Consider the following 27,960-nt stretch of genomic DNA (forward strand, 5'->3'; position numbering starts at 1 on the left):
ATACTGTCAGATGTTACAGGTTGAAGGCTCAGTCCCACAAGACTGCCCTTACTTCAGATGCCAACAGTAGGTCCAAGGCCACTGGCCAACTAACTACAAACCAGGGTTCCCATGACCTCATCTTCAGGTTCAACTAATTTGCTAGGGCAGCTCACAGAACTCAGGGAAATGTGTTTACTGATTTAAAGGATATTACAAAGAATACTGAGGAACACCAGATGGTAGGTATGGAAAGCTCTGGAGTCCTCAAGACTGGCCATTTAAAGATCGCATTCTGCCACTGCAATTTTAAGCACGCAATACCCATGACAGGCCAGATGATGTGGTGGCTCACGCCAGTAATGCCAGCACTGTGGGAGGCTGAGATGGGTAGATCAGATCAGTTAAGCCCAGTTCAAGACCAGGCTGGGCAACATGGCAAAACCCCATCTCTACTAAAAAAAACAAAAATTAACTGGGCATCATGGCAAGCGTCTAGAGTCCCAGCTACTCTAGGGCGCTGAGGCAGGAGGATCACCTGAGCCTTGGGAGGTTGAGGCTGCAGTGGGCTGTGATTGGGCCACTGCACTCCAGCCTGGGCAAGAGTGAGACCCTATATCAAAAAATAAAATAAATAAAAAATACCCATGACATCTCTAGAAATTTTTCCTGTGTGTCCATTTCAAATTCCACCTTTTCCACAAAGTCTCCCCTCATAACTTTACTAGTCTATGACACAGTGTCTCACACCTGGGGAGCACTCAAATGTTTGCTGCCTGTAACATTTACTAAACAAACTCTTGGCTGGGCATGGTAGCTCATGCCTGCAATCCCAGCACTTTGGGAGGCCTAGGTGAGAAGATTGATGGAGGCCAAGAGTTGGAGACCACTCTGGCCAACGCAGTAACACCCTATTTCTAGTTTTTTTTTAAAAAAATTTCAGATGCCGGGCATGGTGGCTCATGCCTGTAATCCTAGCACTTTCGGAGGCCGAGACAGGAGGACTGCTTGAGGCCAAGAATTCAAGACCAACCTGGCCAACACAGCGAGACCGCATCTCAAAAAATAAAGTTAAAAAAAAAAGCAAAAAAATTTTAGAAACGAGGGTGGGGAGAAAACTCTCCAGCCCACATAACTTATTCCATTCAATTCTTTTTGCACTAAGGTTAGTATTACACAAATGCACATTTTGTGTTCTGTAATTGTTTTATGTCTGTATACCTTGCACCCCTATCTTCCCTGTTGCCAAAGACAGATTTTCTTCTGTGTACACAACCCCCAGGACAGAGCAAGGCACCAACAGTAATTCCCAAAATAATTTTTTGATTAAAACTTTTGGAGTCATACTGTCATCAGCCAGAAAAAAAAACATGCGTGAGGAGAATGAAGGGTGTTAAAAGAGCTCAAGCTGATGTCCTGAAAGGATTACTTTATCTATAACCTTCCTGAACACTAGCCTTTTCCTGTTGAGTTCGCATGGAAAGTTTTTCCACTTAAAATGGGGCAGCAAGGCTGGGAACTAGTAGGAGTAGCGTAACTTCTCGGACTCTCCCACTGAAAAGCATCTTTTTCTTAAAGGCGGAGAGCACTTTACAGACGGTTACTAAGGTAACCGGAAACAGCAAAACTGAGGTGGTTCTATCTACGGAAGAAATTCTAAGCTCCAAAGTTAAAATGCGGAGCAGTGGCGCATATCAGCAGACGGCGGTCACTACTGTGGCTCATTTAAATCTGTGTTCAGCTCCGGGCCTCTTTTTTCAGGAATCCTTGTTTCGGGACACCCAGTGGACAGCGAAAGGAGAGAGACCACCACAGGCAAACGGCCGGAAAGCCGCGCAGTCGCAGCCCGCGCGCTTCACTCCGCCCAAATAAGCCACTACCGTCACCAACCCCATCTCGTTCGCCCGAGCCGCGGACCTGAGGGAGCGCTGTCCGCTCCCCGCAAGATGCTCACGCGAAAAACCCACTCTTCAGTGTCTGAGACCACTCCGCAGCTTTCGGCCTCGGTGAGCGGGTGAACTAAACCCGGGAAACCGCTGAAAGACCCCAGCTTCGACTAGGCCTAGTCGTAGCGGCGGCCAGCGGGAGGGCGTAGCCGTAGTCTTGGCCCACGTCATTCTGTGCCCCGGGTCAGGTCACCGCCCGGAGGGTATGGGAAGAGAAATGAAGAAGACTGGTACTCCCAGACCCTTCCGTATCGAGGACCCCAATCAACAACCCACCTGGTGAGCGCCATCTTCTTCCGCTTCTTCCAGCGCGAGCGACAGCACCGCTGGGCGGGTCTTTCCAGATGATGAGGAGCGGAAAGGAAGGAGTGCGCGATGCGCAGGCGCTCTGGCCGAAAAGGCCTTCTGGGATTTGTAGTTCTTTGAACAGGAGTACCGTTTGTATTCTGACCAGACCAAGCGGTTATCAAGGAATAATCTCTTCAGCTAGCAACAAATGCATAACTCGATCGCTTATATGCGACATGATAGGGCGTTCCCTAGGCAAAATATCAAAGATACAGGGAGATGCCTTTTAGGCCGCTTTATTACGTTCCTTACTCAGTCCCGTTCCCCGAGAAGGGGTACAAAATACAAAAGCTTCCCGGGGACAGCTACTTTAAGTAAGAGTGATAGGGCGTTTAAAACGACAGGTAATAATGAGACTAGCTAATGGAGAGTCCTTGGACTCTCTGAAAACATTCACACTCAAAACTTTTCTTTAAACCATATCCTCTCACCCGCCAAAACACTCTCTTGGGGAGATATTTCGTAATCCTTGGTAATTTACCGAGTGTCTGGGTTCTCTGCCCAGGGTATGACAAGGCTGAAATCTCATAGGAGGCTCTGGAGAAAAATCCATCTCCTAACTCATTCTTGTTGGCAAAAATCAGTTCCTGGCGGTTGTGGGATCGAGTTCCCTGTTTTGTTTTGTGCTGTTAGTGGTGGCCACCCTCAGCTCCTAGGGGTCACTCTCGAGTCCTTCCCACATGAGCCCTATTTATTGGTAGTTCACAACATGGATATTTGCTTTCTGAGGCACATCTTTCTGACTCCTCTTCTGCCACTGTTGGAGAAAAATGCCCTGCTTTTAAAGGGCTCATGTGATTAGATCAGGAGCACCTGGATAATCTCCCTATTTTAAGATCAACTCTTGGCCGGGCGCAGTAGCTCACACTTGTAATCCTAGCACTTTGGGAGGTCGGGGCGGGCGGATTGCCTGAGCTCAGGAGTTCGACAAAGCCTGGGCAACATGGTGAAACCCTGTCTCTACTAAAAATACAAAAATTAGCTGGGCGTTGTGGCGCGCTCCTGTAGTCCTAGCTACTGGGGAGGCTGAGGCAGGAGAATCGTGTGAATCAGGAGACGGAGGTTGCAGTGAGCCAAGATCACGCCACTGCACTCCAGCCTGGCGACAGAGTGAGACTGCGTCTCAAAAAATAAAAATAAATAAATAAATAAATAAATAAATAATATAAAAGAATAGCTGGGTGTGGTGATGTGCTCTTGTTTTCTCAGCTACTTGGGAGGCTGAGGTACAAGAATCGCTTGAACCCAGGAGGTGGAGGTTGCAGTGAGCCGAGATTGCACCATTGCACTCCAGCGTGGGTGACAAAGTAAAATTCTGTCTCAAAAAAAAAAAAAAAATCAACTCTGCCACACCGCATAACAGAATCAGAATCTTCATAGTCATGGCCCCAGGGGTTATGTAGGTCAGGTACTGTGGGGGTTGGGTGAGGAGGAGATCTTGGGGGATATCCTAGAATTCTGCCTGCCACAGCATGTAAACCAAAAAAACAAAAAGAAAAAATCTTTTGGTAAATACAGGATTGTTAATCACATTGTGTAATATAACCTGCATGGCCTGGGAGCCCGAAGATTAGAGTTTAAGATGTAGCTTTGGCTGGGTGTGGTGGCTTGTGCCTTTAATCCCAGCACTTTGGGAGGCTGAGGCGGGCAGATCACCTGAGGTCGGGAGTTTGAGACCAGCCTGACCAACATGGAGAAACTGCGTCTCTACTGAAAATACAAAATTAGCCGGGCGTGGTGGTGCTTGCCTGTAATCCCAGCTACTCGGGAGGCCGAGGCAGGAGAATCGCTTGAACTCGGGAGGCGGAAGTTGTGGTGAGCCGAGATCGTGCGTCGTTGCACTCTAGCCTGAGCAACAAGAGTGAAACTGTCTCAGAAAAAAAAAAAAAAAAAAAAAAGATGTAGCTTCAGCACCAATAAATTCTTATAGGGCAAGTCATTTAATTTATTTGGGCCCCAGTTTTATTGAACTTAAAATGCTGATCATGTTATCTGCTTTACCTATATTTATATAAATGTAAAATAATTATATACAATACAGCAGAGTATGAGCCTTAAATGAGGTAATGTAGGTGGATATGTTTTTACTTAACTCTTAAGTACTATGTAAATATGTTAGTTATTACAGTTAATATTTTGGTTGACAGTGATCTACTTCAACCTCTGCTCCAGGAATGTATTATTTCTAAAAGGAGAAAAACAGAGAAGCAAATTATAGAACGTCCTGGAAGCCAAGATCAAGGAGCTTAGATTTAGTTCAGCAGGTGATTTGCAGCTGAAGGAGGACTTAAGTAGAGGGCCTGGGTCAAAGGAACAGGCAAGAAAGACAATTCTTAAGGCAGAATGGGTTTCTATGGCAATGAGAGACAAAGGAGGCTACTGAGGACAAGGTTAAAATAATTAACATGGGAAATCAGTAAGACATAGACCAAGACCTGGGATGCAGGATTGAAAGAACAGGGTGGAGAAGAGCTTTTGCAATCCACTCTCATTTTCCACAGAGGCACATCATGCAAGGCATTTCCACCAGTCATAGTCCCTCGCTGTTTTGGGGGTGTGTAAAGAATAGAAACTGACTTTAATAGCAATCCTATCAAAACAATTAAGAAAGCAAATCTACTGCAAACGTGATACAATATTATACCCAAAGGCCTAGTGCTTTCTTTGGTTTTGTTGGGGAGGGGGTTTGGTGTTAAGCTATGCTGAATCTTCAGTGCCTATCCATCCCTCATTATCATAGGTAATTAGCAGCTGCCTGCTCATGTAGAGAGCCCAGTGCATGCTGGAATCAGTAATGCGCCAGGTTGCAAGAAGCAATCAATTCACTCCAGTCTTAGAATTCTGGATAGAGAGTAGAATTGTTCTCAGAGAACCTAGGGCCTAATTTGATTCCTAAGTAGGTGTGGCTATGTAGCCACAAGTAATATAGCTTGTGAGGTGGTAGGGAGGACAAGTTAAGCACATATTCTGGAGTCAGCTTTCCTGCCTTCTGATCCCAGCTCCCTAATTTATGAGCTGTAGATTCTGGATAAGTCACTTCTCTCTGTCTCAGTTTTCTCACTGGCCAATAAAAAGGGTGAGGGGCGTGGAATCAGTATAACTTATCCTCAATAAAGCTATTGGGAGGATTAAATGAGTTAATCATGTGAAGTGCTTAGAAAAATGCCCAGCATAGAGTAAGCGCTCAAAAATTAATTATGCTTTCTGGCTTTAATGAATTGGCCTTAATTTATTAAGGTTCAGGTTTTGCATCTGCAAAGTGAGGCAGTTGAACTCAATTTTATTTCTGGGGTACCTTCCCACTAACATTTTCTACTATAGGATGTTTTTTTAAATTTACTTCAATGCCAGTATTTTATGCTCTGATGCCATTATGCTTTAGTTATTATGGCTATATTATTATAATCATTCTCTGATAAAAAGTAGAGCTGCTCCACCACACCGTTCTTACTTTTTGGATGTGTTTTACGTGCCCTCTCAATGTTTAAAATTTTTTTTTAATTAAAATATTGGTTTGCATTAAAGCATAGTTAAAAAGGCTAGAGCCAATGATTACTTAGGAACTGCGAAAGAAATAACGTATCTTTACGATGGAGAGATTTGGCTGTCATCACTTTTGCTTCACTAACAGTGGAACAATCTGACACTAGGTGCTTTTAATAGGAAGTTCCCCAGTTTTCTTTCTTTCTTTCTTTCTTTCTTTCTTTCTTTCTTTTTTTTTTAGACCGAGTCTTCCTCCGTTGCCCAGGGTGGAGTGCAGTGGTGCGATTTCGGCTTACTGCAACCTCTGCCTCCCTAGTTCAAGCGATTCTCCTGCCTCAGCCTCCCGAGTAGCTGGGATTACAGGCATGAGCAAGCACGCCTGGCTAATTTTTGCATTTTTAGTAGAGATGGGGTTTCACCATGTTGGCCAGGCTAGTCTTGAACTCCTGGCCTCAAGTGATCCACCCACCTTGGCATCCCAAAGTGCTGGGATTACGGGTATGAGCCACTGCACCTGGCCGGAAGTTCACCAATTTTCTGATCAAACCAGACCTAATGTCCAGTTCACAAGAAATTCAGGGGATAGAGTAACAAGTTTAAAAGCATGAGGAAACAATCAGTAAAATCCAGAATGTGAGACATTCTACAAGACAACTGACTGAGACTCTACAAAATGTCAATGTCATGGAATGGATGTGAATAGAATAGATGAAAACAGATTGATGAGACATGACACATAAAATTAGTAAACCTTGATGGGATTCTGGTTCAGTTGGGGAAAACTATAAAAAATATTCTTGGGACATTTGGAGAAAGTTGCATATGGAGTGATAATAGACAACATTGTAGAATTTTTGCTAAATTTCTTAGGAGTATTAATGACATTGTGGTTAAGTAGAAGAACGTTCTTATTCTTGGGAGATGCATGCCAGAGGATTTGGGGATGAAATGTGTCAACTTACTTTCTTCTTTTTTGTTTGTTTTTTGTTTTGAGACACAATTTTGCTCTTGTCACCCAGGCTGGAGTACAGTGACGCAGTCTTGGCTTACTGCAATCTCTGCCTCCCGGGTTCAAGTGATTCTCCTGCCTCAGTCTCCCAAGTAGCTGGGATTATGGGCGCCTGCCACCATGCCCAGCTAATTTTTGCGTTTTTAGTACAGACGAGGTTTTACCATGTTGGCCAGGCTGGTCTCGAACTCCTGACCTCAGGTGCTCCATCCACCTGGCCTCCCAAAGTGCTGGGATTATAGGCCTGAGCCACTATGCCCAGCCTCAATTTACTTTCAAATAGTTTATCTCAACAACAAAAAATGTGTGTGTGTGTGTGTTTATAGTGAGAGAGTGTGAGAGAGCATGAAAGGGAAAGCAAAATGTTAACAATTATTTAAGCTTAGATGGGGGAGTGTGGACTGTATAGGTGTTTATTGAACTATTGTTTCAACTTTTATATATATATGAAAATTATCTCTTTTTTTTTTTTGAGACAGGGTCTCACTCTGTTGCTCAAGCTGGAGTTCAGTGGTATGATCACGGCTCACTACAGCCCGAATCTCCCAGGCTCAAGCGATACTCCTACCTCAGCCTCCCAAGTAGCTAGGACTACAGGCATGTGCCACCAGGCCTGGCTAATTTATTTTTTGTAGAGACAGGGTCTCACTATGTTGCCCAGGCTGGTCTTGAACTCCCGGACTGAAGTGATCCTCCTGCCTGGCATCCCAAAGTGATGTAAGCCACTGCACCCAGCCCTGAAAATTTTTATAATAAAAATTTAAGAAGAGGAAAGTTGTAGAACTCACATTTCCCAATTTCAGAAACCTACTACAAAGCTGCAGTAATCAAGACAGTGTGGTACTGGCATAAGGATAGATTCATAGATCAATGGAATAAAATTGAGAGTCCTGAAATAAACCCATATGTTTATGGTGAACTGATTTTTGACAAGGGTACCAAGACCATCTAAAACTATTATTGACATAGTTTTTTCAACAAATGGTGCTGGGAAACTGTATGTCTAAATGCAAAAGAATGCAGTTGGACCCTTGCTTCACGCCCTATACAAAAATTAACTCAAAATAACTCAAAGACCTAAATGTGAAAACTAAAACTATAAAACTCTTAGAAGAAAACACAGGGGTCAATCTTCATGATCTTGGATTTGGCAAAGAATTCTTAGATAAGATACAAAAAGCATAAACAACAAAGGAAAAAATAGAAAAATTGGACTAAATCAAAAGTTAAGGTTTTGTGCTTCAAAGGACATCATCAAGAAAGTGAAGGGCCGGGCATGGTGGCTCACGCCTGTAATCCCAGCACTTTGGGAGGCCGAGGCAGGCGGATCACGAGGTCAGGAGATCGAGACGATCCTGGCTAACATGGTGAAACCCCATCTCTACTAAAAATACAAAAATTAGCCGGGTGTAGTGGCGGGCACCTGTAGTCCCAGCTACTCAGAAGGCTGAGGCAGGAGAGTGGCGTGAACCCAGGAGGCAGAACTTGTAGTGAGCCAAGATTGTGCCACTGCACTCCAGCCTGGGCAACAGAGCGAGACTCCGTCTAAAAAAAAAAAAAAAAAAAAAGAAAGAAAGTGAAAAGTCCCAAGACCTTCAGGCAAACAAAGACATTCCTATTAGGCATGACATTTCAGGAGTTTAGAGATTACTTCCAAGAAGCTAAGGACAAAAGCCAGATCTCTCTTTGGACAAGGTTAAATTTGTTACTACAGAAGCCTTGAAAACATTATGCTAAATGAAAGAAGCCTGTCACAAAAGACCAGATATTGTATTATTACCTTTATATAAAATGTTCAGAATAAACAAATCCTGTGGGGGTGTTAGGAAAGGTCAATAATTGTTAATGGGTATGAGTTTCTTTTGGGGGAGGGTTGAAAAATTAGTGGTGACGGTTGTTCAACTTTGAATATACTAAACGCCTCTAATCTGCATACTTTAATAAGGTGATTTTATGGTGCGTGAACTACATTTCAATAAAGCTGTAGAAGCAAAGTTAAGTAAAATGCAAAAGTAATAAAATGAATAAGTGAATAAAAAGTATAATATAGTATCTCTTCATTTTTTTCCAAATGAAATTTAGAATTATTTTGTGCATTCTATTGAAAAATATCTGTAGGCATTTTGATTGGCGTTGAATTGTCCATAAATTAATTTTGAGAGAGCCAATATCTTTACAATTTTATGTCTTCTCACTCAAGAACACTGGTTTTGGTTTTGGTTTTTGAGTTGGAGTCTTGCTCTGTTGCCTGGGCTGGAGTGCAGTGGACGATCTTGGCTCCCTACAACCTCTGCCTCCTGGGTTCAAGAGATTCTCCTGCCTCAGCCTCCTGAGTAGCTGAGATTACGGGCATGCACCATCACACCTGGCTAATTTTTGTATTTTTAGTAGAGACGGGGTTTCGCCATGTTGGCCAGGCTGGTCTCGAACCCCTGAACTCAAGTGATCTGCCTGCCTTGGGCTCCCAAACTGTTGGGATTACAGGCGTGAGCCACTGCTTTTGGCCAGGAACACTGTTTAGATTTTAACTTATTAAAATCTTCCTTCATATCTTTCAATAACATTTTGAAGTTGTCTTTATATAGATTGTACACATCTTTCAGGATATTAATTTTGGTATTTCATTTTTAAAATCATGAATGCAATCTCTGTTTTTATATGATTACTAAATAGAACAGTAATTTTTATTAAGTAAGTCAAAAATGTTCTGAAACATGTCAGTCATTTTATAGGCAGAATCAATTTTTTTAATTTTTATTTTTTATTTTTTACAGGCATGATCAACCAGGTACAGAATCAGTTTTTTGGCTGTAGATGATTTAAGAGTTAGGGTCAACTTGTCTTTGGTGAGATGTGCTCCTCTATCTTCTTCTGGAATTAAGCAGTTCTTTGGGTTGATGAGTAGGAAAGCAGTTTTGCTGTCAGCTACTTCCCTCCATGAGTTCTGAGACTTCCTGTTTAAAAGCACTACGAAACCTGCTGACCCCACTTCTTTCCCGATTTAATTATTCTTTTTGAAAGTTGGCTCTAACCTTAAGGGTTGTGAAAACACAAGGATCCAGTGTGGTTGAAGCTTTAGAACTAAGAAAACCATTCCTTTTTCTATCAAACAGCCTGGCAGGGGAACAGTTTGCCCCTTGCCCTGAGCCCTGTCATTTGTTTTGATCATTTTCATTCCTATCAAATGTGCTGTTGGCCCAGAAGGCAGCCATCTGATAGCTGAAGTGACTGCCTACATTTCTTCCCTCTCTTCTCCAGTAACAAGATATTCCACCAGAATATGCCTGTTTGTAGGCTAAGGCTGTGATTTAATAACCCTAAGGAGATAAACACTGGGATAATAATAATGGTTATTATTTATTGATTAGCTTCTCTATGCCAATTTATCCCACTTATTCCTTGTAACAGCCCTGTGAGTAGTTAACTCTTTTTATCCACACTTTACAGATAAGAAAATGGAGGCTTAGATATGTAAGCTGCCCAAGATGACAAATAGAAAGTGACTAATCTGGAACTTAAACCCAGAGAACATGATCTTTCTTTTTTTTTTTTTGAGACAGGGTCTCACTCTATCGCCCAGGCTGGGGTGCAGGGGTGCAATCACGGCTCATTGCAGCCTTGACTTCCTGGGCTCAGTCTATCCTCCTGCCTCAGCCTCTCAGGTAGCTGGGACTACAGGCGAGGCCCACCACGCCCAGCTAATTTTCTTATTTTTTGCAGAGATGGGGTCCCACTATTTTGCCCAGGCTGGTCTTGAACTGCTGGGCTCAAGCAATCCTCCTGCCTCAGCCTCCCAAAGTGCTGGGATTACAGGTGTGAGCCACTGTGCCCGGCCCGGAGAACATGATCTTAACCATACTGTCTTCCAAGTGAAAGATTCTACCTTTCTAAGACATCTGGAGTCAGACAGACCTGAGTTCAAGTCGTGCCTTCCTCCCCACTTTACTGAACCTTCAGTGAGTCTTTCTACCTCAGAAGGCTGTGAGGATGCCATGGGGTAATGAATGTAAAGTGTTTAAGTGCTTGGCTGACACTGAGTACTAAATAAATATCAATTTATTCTTCAAAAGTGTATAAAAATGTATCAAGTCCTTTCTCTGTACTAAACCCTGTACTAATTTGGGGGAATTCAAAGTTAAAGTCTGTATAGTCTTGCCCTAAAAACTAATGGGCTGGGACGGGCACAGTGCTTCACACCTGTAATCCCAGCACTTTGGGAGGCTGAGGTGGGCAGATCATGAGATCAGGAGTTCGAGACCAGCCTGGCTAACATATGAAACCCCATCTCTACTAAAAATACAAAAAATTAGCTGGGCATGGTGGCGGGTGCCTGTAATCCCAGCTACTCGGGAGGCTGAGGCAGGAGAATTGCTTGAACCCGGGAGGCAGAGGTTGCAGTGAGCTGAGATCACGCCATTGCACTCCAGCCTGGGCAACAAGAGCGAAACTCTCCATCTCAAAAAACAAAAACAAAAATACAAAACCAATGGGCTGGTACATCTGGGACTTGTGGGTTGAATCTGGCCCCCATACATATTCTGTTTGTCCTTCACATGCTTTAAAACTTTTGAATTAGTTCCAGACATTTAAAAGTTGGGAGATTTTGGCCGGGCATGGTCGCTCACACCTCTAATCCTAGCACTTTGGGAGGCCGAGGCCAGTGGATCACTTGAGGTCAGGAGTTCGAGACCAGCGTGGGCAACATGGTGAAGCCCCATCTCTACTAAAAATACAAAACTTAGCCAGGCATGGTGGCGGCACCTGTAATCCCAGCTACATGGGAGGCTGAGGCAGGAGAATCGCTTGAATCCAGGAGGTGGAGGTTGCAGCGAGCTGAGATCGTACCACTGTACTCCAGCCTGGGCGACAGAGTGAGACTCTATCTCAAAAAAATAAAATATAATATAAAATAAGTTGGGAGATTTTGATCTGTTCACCTGCCTTTGAACTTCCTACCCAGACACCTTCTCAAGGGGGGTGGTGTCTCTGGCGATCTCATCACTGGCAGAGGAAGGATAACTGAACCCAGTCAATGGCCAAGCCTCCATATATTAGTGGCACTCACATCTCTAGACTCTTCTTGGCTCACCAGACATACATGTACCTTGGGGACCACCCTTCAAAATGCCATCAACACAGGCTCCTAAAGTAGGACATTTTACACCCATCACCCAGTTATGTACCAACAATAACATAGGGCTATTCCTTCAGATGAAGAGCTGAGAATATGTTAGTTTTAAAATAGAAGTCAGAGTCAGTGTGGCAGGTGGAATTTACAGCCTGTGTACAAAAAAAACCACACTTAAATGCCTGTTTCTAACAAAGACCAACTAAAAATTCCTCCCAGGGCAATAAAGAGAAGCCTCCATAGGTGAGAGTGTTTCTCTGGAGGGAATCTAGAAAAGTTGAGGGAGAATGAGTCTAGCTCCTTCCAACAGGAGGATAGAAACCTATCTAAATGGGCAGGGCCAGACTGAGTTCATAGGAAAAATAATTTCCTTCATAGTGGGTAGATTCTAAGACCCCCACCCCAATTTTTTTTGAGGATATCTCACAAAGGATAGAGCAGGCCTGGGTCTGACAGGTGGGACTGACTTAAGCCTATCCTTGCTCACAAACAGAAGCCCATTCCCACCAGCGATCTGAGAGATTTGGCAGAGGCTGGGTGAAGGTTGAGGATGAAAGGGACTTTACTTGTGGAGTTCAAGGTTAAATCCAATCTACAGTCATGAACTCTGCTCCAAACCACAATACCGCTTCTTACCCACTAGGATAGCTATAACCAAATAGACATAATAAGAGTTAGTGAGGATGCAGAGAAACTGGAATGCTTGTACATTGCAGGTGGGAATGTAAAATGGTGCAGCCACTTTGGAAAACAGTTTGGCAGTTCTTCAAAACTTTAAACGGAGAGTTACCATATGATATGGTTTGGCTGTGTGTCCCCACCCAAATCTCATGTTGAATTGTAATTCCCAATGTTGGGGGAGGGACCTGATGGGAGGTGATTGGATGACGGGGGCAGATTTCCCCCTTGCTGTTCTATGATAGTGAGTTCTGATGTCCTATGATAGTGAGTGAGATCTGATGGTTTAAAAGTGTGTGGCACTTCCCCCTTTGCTCTTTCTTCTGCCACCATGTGAAGAAGGTGCTTTGCTTCCCCTTTGCCTTCTGCCATGATTGTAAATTTCCTGAAGCCTCCCAGTCATGCCTCTGTTAAACCTGCAGAACTGTGAGTCAATTAAACCTCATACCTTAGTACACCATATGACCCAGCAATTCCATTCCTTTTTTTTTTTTTTTTTTTTTTTTTTTTTGAGACAGGGTCTAACTCTGTCACCCAGGCTGGAGTGCAGTGGTGCAATCACAGCTCATTGCTGCCTCAACCTCCTGTGCTGAAGTCATCCTCCCACCTCAGCCTTCTGAGTAGCTGGGACTACAGGCCCATGCCACCATGCCTGGCTATTTTTTTTTTTTAATTTTTGGTAAAGACAGGATCTCCCTATGTTTTCCAGGCTGGTCTCAAACTCCTGGACTCAAGCAATCTTTCAGCCTCTATCTCCCAAAGTACTGAGGGGGATTATAGGTGTGAGCCACTGCTCCCAGCCTCTACTCTTAATATGATCAAGAGAAATGAAAACACATGTTCACACAAAAACTTATACGCAAATATTCATAGCAGCATTATAATAGCTGAAATGTGGAAGCAGCTCAAATGCGCCACACACTGATGAATGGATAAACAAAAGGTGGTATATCCACACATTGAAATATTACTCAGCAATAAGAAGAAATGAAGTACTGATACGGGATACAACTTACACGAACCTTGAAAACATAATGCTAAGTGAAAGAAGCCAGTCACAAAGACCAGATATTATATAATTCCATTTATTTGAATTGTTCACAATAGGCATATCCATCGGAATGCAGATTAGCAGTTGCCTGGGGATAGGGCCGGTGAGGTGGGGCAGGAAGCAGGGACTGAGAAAGGGAACAAACAGCGAGTGGATGGGAGTTTCTTTTTGGAGTATTGAAAGGTAAAAAGTTCTAAAATTATATAATGGTGATGGTTGTACAACTCTGTGAATAATCATGAAAACCACTGAATTGTACACATTGAAAGGGTGAATTTTACGGTATGTGAATTATATCTTAATACATCTGTGTTTTGGCCAGGCGTGGTGGCGTGGTGGCTCACACCTGTAATCCCAGCACTTTGGGAGGCCGAGGCAGGCGGATCACTTGAGGTCAGGAGTTTGAGACCAGCCTGATCAACATGGAGAAACCCCGTCTCTACTAAAAATACAAAATTAGCCAGGCATGGTGGCACACACCTGTAATCCCAGCTACTCGGGAGGCTGAGGCAAGGGAATTGCTTGAACCCAGGAGGCAGAGGTTGTGGTGAGCTGAGATCGTGCCATTGCATTCCAGCCTGGGCAACAAGAGCAAAACTCTGTCTCAAAAAAAAAAAAAAATCTGTTTTTTAAAAATATATCTGTTCCAGGTTTCCTCAGACTACCCCTAAGATAACCAGGAACCACAATGGACTTTTCCCTCTTTCTCCTCTATTTTAAAAAAATATTCAGCCAGGCATGGTGTTGCACCTGTAATCCCAGCCACGTGGGAGGCTGAGTTGGGAGAATTGCTTGAACCTGGGAGGTGGAGGCTGCAGTGAGTCGAGATCGCACCACTGCACTCCAGCCTAAGCAACAGAGCGAGACTCCATCTAAACAACAACAAAAATTCATGAGCCTCTCTTTACTTAATTTCTTTAAAATGTTTAATAGTCTGTTAATTAATTTATAAAATTATTATTAGTAGTATTTGAGACAGAGTCTCACTCTATTGCCAGGCTGGAGCACAGTGGTGTGATCTTGGCTCACTGCAACCTCTGCCTCCTGGGTTCAAGTGATTCTCATGCCTTAGCCTCCTGAATAGCTGGGATTACAGGCATGCACCACAATGCCCGGCTAATTTTTGTGTTTTTAGCAGAGATGGGGTTTCATCATGTTGGCCAGGCTGGTCTCGAACTCCTGTCCTCAAGTGATCTGCCTGCCTCAGTCTCCAAAAGTGCTGGGATTACAGGAATGAGCCACAGTGCCTGGCCAAAAAAATTTTTTTTTCTTTTTTTTTTTTTTCAGAGACAGGGTCTCACTGTGTAACCCAGGCTAAAGTGCAGTGACACCATCATGACTCACTGCAGCCTCGATTTCTTGGGCTCAAGTGATCCTCCCACCTCAGCCTCCTAGATAACTGGGACCACAGGCACGTACCACCATGCCCAGCTAGGTGTATTAGTCTGTTCTCATGCTGCTAATAAAGACATATCCGAGACTGGGTCATTTATAAAGGAAAGAGGTTTAATGGACTCACAGTTCCACATGGCTGGTGAGACCTCACAATCATGGTGGAAGGTGAATGAGGCACAAAGTCACGTCTTACATGGTGGCAGGCAAGAGTGTGTCCAGGGGAATTCCCGTTTATAAAACCATCAGAGCTTGTGAAACTTATTTACTATCATGAGAACAGCAGAGGAAAGAACTGCCCCCATGATTCAATTACCTCCCACGGGGTCCCTCCCATGACATGTGGGAATTATGGGAGCTACAATTCAAGATGAGATTTGGGTGAGGACACAGCCAAACCATATCACTAGGGTTTTTTTTCTTTGATAGAGATGGAGTCTCACTATGTTGCCCAGGCTGGTCTTGAACTCCTGGGCTCAAGCAATTCTCCCACTTTGGATTCCCAAAGTTCTGGGATTACAAGTGTGAACCATTGCGCCTGGCCTCATGGCCTAGTTAACTGCTTCTTTTTTTTCCCGAGATAGAGTCTTGTTCTGTCACCCAGGCTGGAGTGCAGTGGTGCGACTCAGCTCACTGCAACCTCTGCCTCCTGGGTTCAAGCGATTCTCCTGCCTCAGCCTCCAGAGTAAGCTGGGATTACAGGCACCCGCCACTGCACCTGGCTCATTTTTGTATTTTTAGTAGAGATGGGGTTTCACCAGGTTGGGCGGGCTGGTCTTGAACTCCTGACCTCAGGTGATCCCCCCTGCCTCTGCCTCCCAAAGTGCTGGGATTACAGGCGTGAGCCACCATGCCTGGCTAGTTAACTTCTGGACCTCAATTTCCTCAGTTGAAAAATGAGGATAATAACAGTCCTTTCCTCATAGGGTAAGTGTAAATCTAAAATGACCACAGATATGAACTATGTTTAGAACAGTACCTAGCACATAATAAATCCTGTATTAGTATTTGTAATAATTATTTATATATTAATATATGTTATACATATTAATAGTCATATATTACACCCCTAGGATAGTATTTAGCACATAGTAAGTGCCCTATATAAGTGTTAGCTATTAATATTATCATTATTTACTTATTTTTATTAGAGTTGATAATGGTTAACTTGTCCAAGGCTTTATCTGTTCTGCTGTTGATGAACATTGAGCTGTTTCCAGTTTGAGGTTACAAATGCGTAATGCTGCTTTGAATATTTGTGCATCATTTTCTCTAGGGTATACACTTAGGAGTGGATTGCTGAGGCACAGGGTATGTTTACCTCCATATTTACAGATATGCCAAACCGTTTTCCAAAGTGGATGATTCAATTTACATTCCCACCTCCAGTAAGAACCTCTCCAATACTTGATAGGCTCATCTTTTAAAATTTTACCCTGGTATGTAATGACAGCATCAATTTTAATTTGCATTTTTCTGGTTACTGATGAGGAGGAGCACCTTTGATTTCCTTCTTGTGACATTCCTGTTCAAGCCTCTTGTCCATTTACTACTGAGTTATACGTCTTTTTCTTGTTGCGTTGTGAGAATTCTTCACATGGTTTGGGTACTGAGTAATTCTTTATCTATTTCAATACCTTCCACTATTCTGCTTGACTTCTACTCTGCCAGTGGTATCTTTTGTTTTTGTTTTTGTTTTGAGATGGAGTTTTGCTTTTGTTGCCCAGGCTGGAGTGCAATGGTGCTATCTCAGTTCACTGCAACCTCTGCCTTCCATGTTCAAGCGATTCTCCTGCCTCAGCCTCTCAAGTAGCTGGGATTCTAGGTGCCTGCCAACACGCCGGGCAAATTTTTTGTATTTTTAGTAGAGACGGGGTTTCACCATGTTGGCCAGGCTGGTCTCGAACTCCAGACCTTAAACAATCCACCCGCCTTGGCCTCCCAAATTGCTGGGATTACAGGTGTGAGCCACCATGCCTGGCCCCAGTGGTATCTTTTGATGAACAAAAAAATTTAATTCAGAAGTAAGCAAATTTATGAATCTTTTTCATTGTAGTTAGTGCTCTTTTTGTCTTGTTCAAGAAATTCTTCCCTGTCCTGAGGTCTTATCTTGTAAAAGCTTTATAGTTTTTCCTTTTACACTTAGGTCATTTCCACCTGGAATTGAATATTGTGCACGATCTGATATAGGACTGAGGGCAATTTCAATTTTTTCTACATAGATGCTCAATTTTATCAGCACCATTTATTAAAAAGCCTGTTCTTTCCTCACTCATCTGCAGGCCATCTCTGTCATGTAGCAAGTGTTATGTAGCAAATGTCATGTATTGATATGTTTGAGGGCTCTTTATTTTGTTCCTTTTACAGGAAGTCCTCCCACCTTGTTCTCCTTATTCAATAGTGTTTTGTCTTGATCCTTTTTAGAATCTGCTAATTAAGTTCCACCAAAAACAAACAAAGAAACAAACAAAACCCTAAAATGGAACAAAACCATTTTCCCAGTCAGTAGAAATCTCAAGATCTAACTGAATGGTAGTGACCAGGACTCTTTCTTTTTTCACCTGGACATGAACGAAAAGCATGTAGATTTAGGTTCTGTCAACAGCTGCCTCATTCTAGGCACATTAGTATAGGGTTGAAAACAACACTCACAGCCGGGTGCAGGGGCTCATGCCTGTAATCCCAGCACTTTGGGAGGCTGAAGCAGGTGGATCACCTGAGGTCAGGAGTTCCAGACCAGCCTGACAAACATGGTGAAACCCCGTCTCTACTAAAAATACAAAAATTAGCTGGGCATAGTGGCTAACACCTGTAATCCCAGCTACTTGGGAGGCTGAGGAAGGAGAATTGCTTGAACCTGGGAGGCGGAGGTTGCAGTGAACCGAGATCGGGCCATTGCACTCCAGGCTGGGTGTCAAGAGTGAAACTCCATCATACACCACATACACACACACACACACACACACACACACACACACACACACACACACAGGCTGGGAGCAGTGGCTCACGCCTGTAATCCCAGCACTTTGGGAGGCCGAGGTGGGCAGATCACGAGGTCAGGAGTTCGAGACCAGCCTGGCCAACATAGTGAAACCCCATCTCTACTAAAAATACAAAAAATTAGCTGCAAGTGGTGGTGGGCGCCTGTAATTCCAGCTACTCGGGAGACTGAGGCAGGAGAATAGTGTGAACCCAGGAGGCAGAGTTTGCAGTGAGCCGAGATTGTGCCATTGCACTCCAGCCTGGGCGACAAGAGTGAAATTCCATCTCAAAAAAAAAAAAGAAAACAACACTCAGAAGGGCAGAGCCAAGAGAATCACTAAGAACAGAGTCAGACAATGTCTGGGTCCTTCTTACCTCCTAAGTGCTGCAGTTATATCGGTTTAACTTGGGGTTTCTGTTATTTGCAAACCACTGAAAGCATCCTAACTTATCCATAAGCTATCTTAAATACTGGCTTGGCTGCAGAAGCAAGTAAAAAGACCTCTTCGTGAAAAGGAAAATAACTGTCACAAAACTATTAATTTTATTCTATGGGGGCCAACAATGATATAATAATATAATAATGGTGATGTTGATAGTTATAGATAACAATTACAAAGCCAGTCCCTATGCTAAGGTATTTACAGATAATATATCATTATACTAGTGATCTTATTCAACGGCCATGATCTCCCAGTGTTACTCTTTTTAGAGAGGAGGAAACAGGTCCAGAGATCTTAAGTAACTCTCTCAGTATCACACAGTTAATGGAATTCAAAGGTAGCCTTGACTGGCTCCAGCACACTTATCAATTGGTCTTTTAACTAATTATTATTATTATTTTTTTTTTTTTGAGACGGAGTCTCGCTCTGTTGCCCAGGTTGGAGTGCAGTGGCACGATCTTGGCTCACTGCAAGCTCCGCCTCCTGGGTTAACGCCATTCTCCTGCCTCAGCCTCCTGAGTAGCTGGGACTACAGGCATCTGCCACCATGCCCGGCTAATTTTTTGTATTTTTAGTAAGGACAGGGTTTCACCCTGTTAGCCAGGAGATGGTCTCCATCTCCTGACCTCATGATCCACCCTCCTCGGCCTCCCAAAGTGCTGGGATTACAGGCGTGAGCCACCGCGCCCGGCCTTAACTTATTATTAAATAGAGCAAATGTAAAACTTCCAGGAGGCCAGGTGTGGTGACTTATGCCTATAATCTCAACACCTTGGGAGGCCAAGGCAGGTGGATCACCTGAGGTTGGAAGTTTGAGACCAGCCTGGCGAACATGGTGAAACCCTCTGTGTACTAAAAATAAAAAATTAGCCAGGTGTGGTGGCACCTGCCTGTAATCCCAGCTACTTGGGAGGCTGAGACACTAGAATGACTTGAACCCAGGAGGCAGTGGTTGCAATGAGCTGAGATAGTGCTACTGCACTCCAGCCCGGGAGCTGTTTCAAAAAAACAATAACAAAGACAAAAACAAAAACTTCCAGGACAGGCGTTGTGGGTCATGTCTTTAATCCTAGCACTTTGGGAGGCTGAGGCAGGAGGTTTGTTTGAGCCCAGGAGTTCAAAACTAGCCTGGTCAACATAGTGAGACCCCATCTCTATAAACAACGTTTCTCCCATGCTGTTCTCATGATAGTGAGTGAGTTCTCACAAGATCTGATGGTTTTATAAGGGGTTCTTCCCCCTTCACTTGGCACTTCTCCTTCCTGCCACCTTATGAAGAAGGTGTCTGGCTTCCCCTTTGCCTTCTGCCATGATTATAAGTTTTCTGAGGCCACCCCAGCCATGCTGAACTGTGAGTCAATGAAACCTCTTTCCTTTATAAATTACCCAGTAATTTATAACAACAACTCAGGCAGTTGTTGATAGCAGCATGAAATTGGAGTAATACAGCCTCCTAAAGTGCTGGGATTACAGGCATGAGCCACCACACGCAGCCTGCATTTTTTCATAGATAAAATGTTCTACAAGTTTTCGATTGACATTTGGAATTTTCAGAAAAGTACAAGAAGAAAATTTAAATTATCCATAATCCTACTCTGCAGAGATAATCACTATTATCATTTTATAGTATATCCTTTGAGCCTTTTAAATAATATATGCAATAGAAATCCAGCTGTGAATATTGTTTTGTAATCTGCTTTCTTTTTTTTTTTTGATATGGAGTCTATCTGTCACTCAAGCTGGAGTGCAGTGTCTCAATCTCAGCTTACTGCAGCCTCCACCTCCCAGGTTCAAGCGATTCTCCTGCCTCAGCCTTCCAAGTAGCTGGGATTATAGGCGCCTACCACCACACCTGGCTAATTTTTGTATTATTGGTGCAGACAAGTTTTCGCCATGTTGGCCAGGCTGGTCTCGAACTCCTGACCTCAAGTGATCTGCCCACTTTGGCCTCCCAAAGTGCTGGGATTACAGGTGTGAGCCACTGCACCTGGCCTGCTTTCTTAAGATAGTATTTTTTCTAGTCATTAAAAATTCTAAAATATTATTATTAATGTTTGCAATGGTATTTTAGTTTCTAACATTTACTTAATCAGTGCTCTATTTTCACTAAAAATTTGTTGCCATACACATTCTTGAAAATCTTTTTTTCAGACAACACTGATTTTTTTAAAAGTAGAATTACTTATTAAAGGAATATAAACATTTACAAGTGTTTAGTACTACCAAACTGCTCTCCAGAAAGGCTACATCCACTTCTGTTCCTACCATTAGTGAGGTAGAATTCCTCTTTTCCCAAAACCTTACTCTTCTGGAAGTTTTTTTTTTTTTTTTTTAAATAGACATGGTCTTGCTCTGTCACCCAGGCTGGAGTGCAGTGGTCTGATCTCAGCTAACTGCAGCTTTGACCTCTTGGGCTCAAGCGATCCTCCCACATCCTACCTCAGCCTCCTAGGTAGCTGGAACTACAGGTGCACTCCACCATGCCTGGCTAGTTTTTTCTTTGTTTGTTTGTTGAGCCCCATGATTCAAATACTTCCACCTGGTCTCTCCCTTGACACCTGGAGATTATGGGGATTATGGGGATTACAATTCAAGGTGAGATTTGGTTGGGGACACAAAGCCTAACCATATCAGAGGCCAAGGTGGGAGGATTGCTTGAGCCTAGGAGTACAAGACCAGCCTGAGCAACAGAGCAAGATTGTCCACAAAAAAAGGAAAAGAAATTTAAAAAAGACAAAGAAAACAAAAAATAAAAAAAGTTATTAGATGAATGTGGTGGCCCATGCTTGTAGTTCCAGCTACTTGGGAGGCTGAGGTGGGAGGATCACTTGAGCCTGGGAGGTCAAGGCTGCAGTGAGCTATGATTGCACCACTGCACTCCAGCCTGAGCAAGAGAGCAAGACCCTCTCAAAAAAAAAAAAAAAAAAAAGAAAGAAAATTCAAACATTTTCAAAGCTAGAGAAAAGAGAAAAATGAGATGAACTTGCCCCAGCTTTAATTATTGTCAACACAAAGCCAATCTTGCCTGTCATATTCCTTCTCCCTCACTCACATTATTTTAAAGCAAATATCAAACATCATATTTCATTTGTAAATATTTTGGCATGTTTCTCTAACCAATAAGGGCTCCTTTTTATTTTTATATTTTTTTGAGACAGGGTTTCACTCTTGCTTAGGGTGGAGTATAGTGGTGTGATCATAGCTCACTGCAGCCTTGAACTCCTGGGCTCAAGTAATCCTCCTGCCTTGGCCTCACAAGTAGCTGGGACTACAGGCTTGTGCCACCACGTCTGGCTAATTTTTAATTTTTTGTTGAGATAGGATCTTGCTATGTTGCCCACGCTGGTCTCAAACTCCTGAGCTCAAGCAGTCCTCCTGCCTTGACCTCCCAACGTGTTAGGATTACAGGCATGAGCCACTGCACCTGGCCAAGGGCTCCTTTTTTTAAAAACCACAACCACAGTACCATGATCACATCTAAATTTAAAATAGTTAATTCTTTAATATCATCAAATATCCAAATAATATTCACATTGCCCTGACTGTGTTTTTATGTGTTTTATATATTTTATCTCTTTTACTTATAGGCTCCCCCTCCATCTCTTTTTTCTCATGTAATATTTTGTTGAAGAAATTGGGTCATTTGCCTGTTAGTTTGCCATAGCCTTGGTTTTGTTAATTGTAGCTCATGATGTTGTTTAACATGTCCCTCATCTGTCTGTTTCCTGTAAATTCTTCATTAGACCTAGAGGCTTGATCAGACTCAGAGTTTTTTGTTTTGTTTGTGCAGTACAGTGGGAGAAGGGACGAAGAAACTTATCAAGGGGAGGCATTTACTTCTATCTGAAGGATCCAGTGTCTGATGGTCTTTCTTGTGATGTTAGCAACTGTTTATGATCATTGCCACACCCATACATCATTAGGGATTGCAAATTGGCGATGTTCTTATTCTATTGTTTCTTTTCCATTTAGTAGTTAGAATGCTCCATATTCCAAGAGAATTTTTTCTTTAACTATTTAGGTGCTCTTTGGAAGAGATCACAAAGGAAAGAGAAAATAAATACCTGATTCTTTCTCTTTAATGACCAGTTTTAAAAATAATTAGGTGCGGCCGGGTGCGGTGGCTCACGCCTGTAATCCCAGCACTTTGGGAAGCCGAGGCGGGCGGATCACGAGGTCAGGAGATCGAGACCATCCCGGCTAAAACGGTGAAACCCCGTCTCTACTAAAAATACAAAAAATTAGCCGGGCGTAGTGGCGGGCGCCTGTAGTCCCAGCTACTTGGGAGGCTGAGGCAGGAGAATGGCGTGAACCCGGGAGGCGGAGCTTGCAGTGAGCGGAGATCCCGCCACTGCACTCCAGCCTGGGCGACAGAGCGAGACTCCGTCTCAAAAAAAAAAAAAAAAAAAAAAAAAAAAAAAAAAAAAAATTAGGTGCTTTCCTAGCATGCTTCAGTGGTGACTGATAAAATTTTTTTGGTAACGTTATAAACTCACAGAGTTAAATAAACTTAATATGCTTTCATCCAGTGATGTTTTTAGCCTATTGATGCTCAAATTATCCTCCTTTTAGCAAGTAGAAGGTTCTCCATGTTAGCTTCTGAGTCCTTTTTAAACCAACCCCATTAGTCTTTGATGGCTTCCCTGCTTTCTGGTATAAAAGGTATTCCAGGCTGGGGGCGGTGACTCATGCCTGTAATCCCAGCAATTTGGGAGGCCGAGGCTGGTGGATCACCTGAGGTCAGGAGTTTGAGACCAGCCTGGCCAACATGGTGAAACCCCGTCCCTGCTAAAAATACAAAAAAATTAGCTGGGCCTGGTGGTGGGCGGCTATAATCCCAGCTACTTGGGAGGCTGAGGCAGGAGAATTGCTTGAACCCAGGAGGTGACAGTGAGCTGAGATTGCACCATTGCACTCCAGCCTGGCCAACAAGAGCAAAACTCCATCTCAAAAAAAAAAAAAAAAAGGTATTCCAGGATCATGTTGTACATTTCCATCCCCAGATCTGGAATGACTCATTTCTGTAAGAGGCCCTGGTTTCTTTTAGTGGGGCAATTTGCATGCTATAAGGTGGTAAGTGAATGATTTTTAAAAGTAAGAAATAACAGATACTAGGTAATGAATAACAGTACAAAACTGATAGAACTATGAAGGTATTGCAGCCCAAGACCCCATTAGTGAGGGGGAGATAGTCTCACAACTTAACAGGCCCTGAAGGAATGAATGCATCTTAATATCATATCACACCATCACATGGATGCGAGCCTTAGTCCCCAAGAAAACCTTAAACTCTATTTAGCAAACTTATTTTAGAGGTATGTGTAAAACATTTTTTAAAGTTTCATATATGGAAGCCTTAGCTGTCTGGAAAATTAGTGTAAATAGAATGCTTCATTTGCTCAGGTTTATGGTGCAGAAAAGAATCATTTAGGGAGCACGTTAAAATATAGGTGTCTGGACCAGGCAATGGTGGCTCACGCCTGTAATCCCAGCACTTTGGGAGGCCAAGGCAGGAGGATCACCTGAGGTCAGGAGTTCGAGACCAGCCTGGACAACACAGGGAGACCCCATCTTTACAAAAAATAAACAAAATTAGCTAGGTGGCACACTCCTGTGGTCCTAGCTACTTGGGAAGCTGAGGTAGGAGGATCGCTTGAGGATGGGGGTTGAGGCTTAGGTGAGGTGTGATGGTACCACCACACTCCAGCCTGGGCGATAGAGCAACCCTGTCTCAAAAAGAAAAAAAAAAAAAAAGTATGGATTTCTGGGTCCCACTCCAGACAACTTGAATCTGGGTGTAGGGCTTCGAATTTGTATTTTAGTAAGCCTTCCAAATGATTTTGAAGTAGGTAGTCCTAAAAACTAACCTTTGAGGAACATTGCCAGACTGACTGATAGAAAGAGAGAGAGTGAATAGGGGAAGAGGAGGGAAAATGCTTTAAAAGAGTGTATCTTGGTTGGGCGCAGTGGCTCCTGCTTGTAATCCTGGCACTTTGGGAGGCTGAGGCGGGTGGATCACTTGAGGCCAGGAGTTTGAGACCAGCCTGGCCAACATGGAGAAATCTCTACTAAAAATACAAAAAAAAAAAAAAAAAAAAGAAAGTAAAAAAAAGAGTGTATCTTGCAGCATATTTCTGAGGATTAAGCCATGTTTTAAAAATTTAGTGATTATTGGCCGGGCGCGGTGGCTCACGCCTGTAATCCCAGCACTTTGGGAGGCCGAGGCGGGCGGATCACGAGGTCAGGAGATCGAGACCATCCTGGGCAACAGGGTGAAACCCCGTCTCTACTAAAAATACAAAAAAAAAATTAGCCGGGCGTGGTGGCGGGCGCCTGTAGTCCCAGCTACTTGGGAGGCTGAGGCAGGAGAATGGCGTGAACCCGGGAGGCGGAGCTTGCAGTGAGCCGAGATCGCGCCACTGCACTCCAGCCTGGGGGACAGAGCGAGACTCCGTCTCAAAAAAAAAAAAAAAAAAAAAAAAAAAAAAAAAAAAAAAATTTAGTGATTATCGGCCAGGCCCAGTGGCTCACGCCTGTAATCCCAGCATTTTCGGAGGCTCAGGCAGGTGGATCACTTGAGGTCAGTAGTTCGAGACCAGGCTGGCCAACATGGCAAAACCCTGTCTCTACTAAAAATACAAGAATTAGCTGGGTGTGGTGGCGTGTGCCTGTAATCTGAGCTACTTGGGAGGTTGAGGCAGGAGAATTGCTTGAACCCAGGAAGCAGAGGTTGCAGTGAGCCGAGATCGCGCCACTGCCCTCCAGCCTGGGTGACAGAGTGATACTCTGTCTCAAAGGAAAAAAAAAATTGGTCATTCTCTTTTTCTGATTTAAAAGGATTTTGTTCCTCCATGGAAAACTTTAAAAATAGGAGCAAGCAAAAAAAATAAAAAAAATTTGTAATCTTACCACTCGGAGACAATGTTCATTTTAAGTTGGTGTATATTCTTCCAGACTTCTAAAAGGAATTGCAATTGCTCCTTTTGTAGCAGACACCATCAGGGACTTGCCTGGGGCCTCTCATCTAGCAAGTGGGAGAGTCCACACTGGAACCCAGCTGCTGAATCCTGAACTTCATTGTGCTCCATTGTATTTTTTATTTTTATTTTAAAAAATTAATTATTTATTTTTGAGACAAGGCTCTGTTTCCCAGGCTGTGTGGTGCAGTGGCATGATCACAGCTCATGGTAGCCTCCATCTCCCAGGCTCAAGCGATCCTCCCACCTTGGCCTCCCAAAGTGCTGGTATTACAGGTATGAGCCACCGCCCCCCATTGTGCTTTATCGTAACAGGAACAGAGGGGCTCACGCCCACTCCTAGCATTACTTTACACACATGTCTACTGTTAAAAGACAAAACTACAACAAATTTAGTTTAAAGATCTTAATTGGTTTTTATTTGCAATTATAGAATCAGCCAACACCTCATTCTAGAAAATAGAATGAGTAATGAGTGTTCTGATGAGCTGAGCAGGAGAGGTTGGCTTTATAGGTAGAAGAGGGCTGAAGAAAGCAAAAATGGGCCGGGCGCGATGGCTCAGACCTGTAATACCAGCACTCTGGGAGTCTAGGGCGGACAGATCACTTGAGTTCAGGAGTTCGAGACCAACCTGACCAACATGGTGAAACCCTGTCTCTACCAAAAATACAAAAATTAGCTGGGTGTGATGGTGCACACCTGTATTCCCAAGTACTCGGGAGGCTGAGGCAGGAGAATCACCTGAACCTGGGAGACAGAAGTTGCAGTGAGCTGAGATTGTGCCAGTGCACTCCAGGCTGGGTGATAGAGTGAGACCCTGTCTCAAAAAAAAAAAAAAAAAAAAAAAAAAAAAGGAAAGCAAAAACAGAGAACAAAATGGAGATTGGTTGTTTTCAAGTTACTTTCCTTAAAGAGTTAAAACAGAGGTGATTACTTTATTATGCTGACTCCGGTTGACTGGAATCTTCTGTTTTGTTTTGTTTTAAAAGAGAGATGGAGTCTTGCTTTTTGGCCAGGTTGGTCTGGAACTTCTGACCTCAAGCAAGTCCCCCACCTTGGCCTTCCAAAGTGCTGGGATTACAGAAGTGAACCACCATGCCCAGCTGGACCCTCCTATTTTGTTTTGTTTTTTAAGGAAAACTGGCCTGTTTTAGTTTCACTGTGTGGCACTTAGCACATGTGACTCCATTCTTGTTTGGCCTGGTCTGATGGGGCCCAGTGCAGGAGGCTGGTCCAAATGATGGCCTCCCATTAACTTTGCTTCACACCGCACATCACTTGTTAAATTAACTGCACAATTACAACAAAAAATAATGTGCCTACTACTGAACTATGGGCTTCTCAGTAGGGCAGGAACATCATCTTATTTATATCAGTATCCTTGGAACACAGCCTGGTGCTTAACTGTGGCTCAATACCTGGAACACAGTAAATACACAATAAATGATCCTTCTGGGCAGGGGGCAATGGAGTGAAAACAACTATTCTCCATTGCCTCTCACAGAACTGAATTGCAGCCATCCTAGACTTCAAAACTGATCTAGTTTTCTCCCCAAAAAACAGTTTGCAGCACTCCAATGTCCAAGAAATAGAATATCCTAAACGAATTAGGGCAGGAACAAAAAACCAAATACCACATATTCTCATTTGAAAGTGGAAGCTAAACATCAGATATTCATGGACATTAGGATGACAATGGTAGATGCGGGAGACTACTAGAGTCGGGGAGGAGAGAGGGGGCAAGGGTTGAAAAACTGTTGGGTACCTGGGTGACGGGATCATTCATACCCCATACCTCAGCATCACGCAGTATACCCAGGTAACAAACCTGCATATGTACCCGCTAAAACTAAAATCCAGATTGAAAAAGAAGGAAAAAAAAGAAGAAACAGAATATCTTCCTGAAAGCCTTATAGGGGAACATGCAGAAGAAAGCAAATCCTCTTAGCATCTTACCCCCTTACCTAAGCAACAGGGCCCCTGACATAAATGGGATGACCCGCCTCCAGGGTTGGATTGGAAAGCCAGCGCATCGTGCTGCAATAAAGGCTCACCAGGTTTAGAAACAAAAGCCTGGCTGTCTCCTTTTCTCTCTTAGCCTCACAAACAGCTACTACTTGGATTCTGAGTGTTTGAAACAAAAGCATACAGGAGGAATAAAGGTGGATTTAACTGACAGTCTTTTGGAATGTAAATACCAATCAAAATGAAGAAATATGTTTTTCAGCTTCAATACAATCTACTTTGGTTTATGAGAGTGAAAAGTCTGATGAAATACATAGTTATAAAAATGTGAAAACTCCTAAGGAAGTAAATCTGTACAGGAGAATTGGGGAGCTGAAATATTTCCCAGTACTGTTTTATAGTCTTCTTTTTCTTTGTTTTTCTTTCTTTTTCTCCCAGGAAACATTTTATTGGATGTGTTCATTTATGTATGCACGTATGTGTTCTTCCAAATGGTTGTTTTCCTGGAACCAACTTCATGTGTGGGTAGCACTGTGCTAGATACTAGCTGCATAATAAATGAATGTGAAAGTTGT

At 43.3% G+C, this 27,960-nt stretch overlaps 1 protein-coding gene and 1 long non-coding RNA gene across 5 annotated transcripts in view, besides 4 other annotated features; one reads left to right on the top strand and one right to left on the bottom strand.

Moving 5' to 3' along the window:
* SNW1 (SNW domain containing 1) overlaps window positions 1-2,244 on the bottom strand; it is a 43,558-nt gene extending 41,314 nt beyond the window's left edge. For all 3 annotated transcript variants that reach the window (NM_012245.3, NM_001318844.2, XM_047431112.1), the window contains exon 1: window positions 2,202-2,244. In NM_012245.3, the coding sequence (NP_036377.1) occupies window positions 2,202-2,215 (14 nt within the window). In that variant the 5' untranslated portion in view covers window positions 2,216-2,244. The remainder of the gene's footprint in view (window positions 1-2,201) is intronic.
* Window positions 1,434-2,208: an enhancer, noted in NCBI's record as "H3K27ac hESC enhancer chr14:78226689-78227463 (GRCh37/hg19 assembly coordinates)". NCBI's record gives its function as "activates a minimal SCP1, AML or CMV promoter by ChIP-STARR-seq in naive H9 embryonic stem cells {active_cell/tissue: H9 hESC(naive)}" and the evidence as "EXISTENCE:reporter gene assay evidence [ECO:0000049][PMID:30033119]".
* Window positions 1,434-2,435: a biological region, named in NCBI's record as "H3K27ac hESC enhancer GRCh37_chr14:78226689-78227463".
* Window positions 1,856-10,830, top strand: SLIRP-OT1 (SLIRP overlapping transcript 1). Of its 2 annotated transcripts, NR_161323.1 has the most exons (3): window positions 1,856-2,204; window positions 9,540-9,553; window positions 10,486-10,830. It is a non-coding gene; the product is annotated as an SLIRP overlapping transcript 1 (long non-coding RNA). The 2 variants fall into 2 exon arrangements; NR_161324.1 differs by lacking the exon at window positions 9,540-9,553.
* Window positions 2,116-2,435: an enhancer, noted in NCBI's record as "active region_8811". NCBI's record gives its function as "activates an Ori minimal core promoter by ATAC-STARR-seq in GM12878 lymphoblastoid cells {active_cell/tissue: GM12878}" and the evidence as "EXISTENCE:reporter gene assay evidence [ECO:0000049][PMID:35858748]".
* Window positions 2,983-3,757: an enhancer, noted in NCBI's record as "H3K27ac-H3K4me1 hESC enhancer chr14:78228238-78229012 (GRCh37/hg19 assembly coordinates)". NCBI's record gives its function as "activates a minimal SCP1, AML or CMV promoter by ChIP-STARR-seq in naive H9 embryonic stem cells {active_cell/tissue: H9 hESC(naive)}" and the evidence as "EXISTENCE:reporter gene assay evidence [ECO:0000049][PMID:30033119]".
* Window positions 10,831-27,960: the final 17,130 nt, after the last annotated feature.

Source organism: Homo sapiens, chromosome 14 (assembly GCF_000001405.40).
Source record: "Homo sapiens chromosome 14, GRCh38.p14 Primary Assembly".
Classification (NCBI taxonomy): Eukaryota; Metazoa; Chordata; class Mammalia; order Primates; family Hominidae; genus Homo; species Homo sapiens.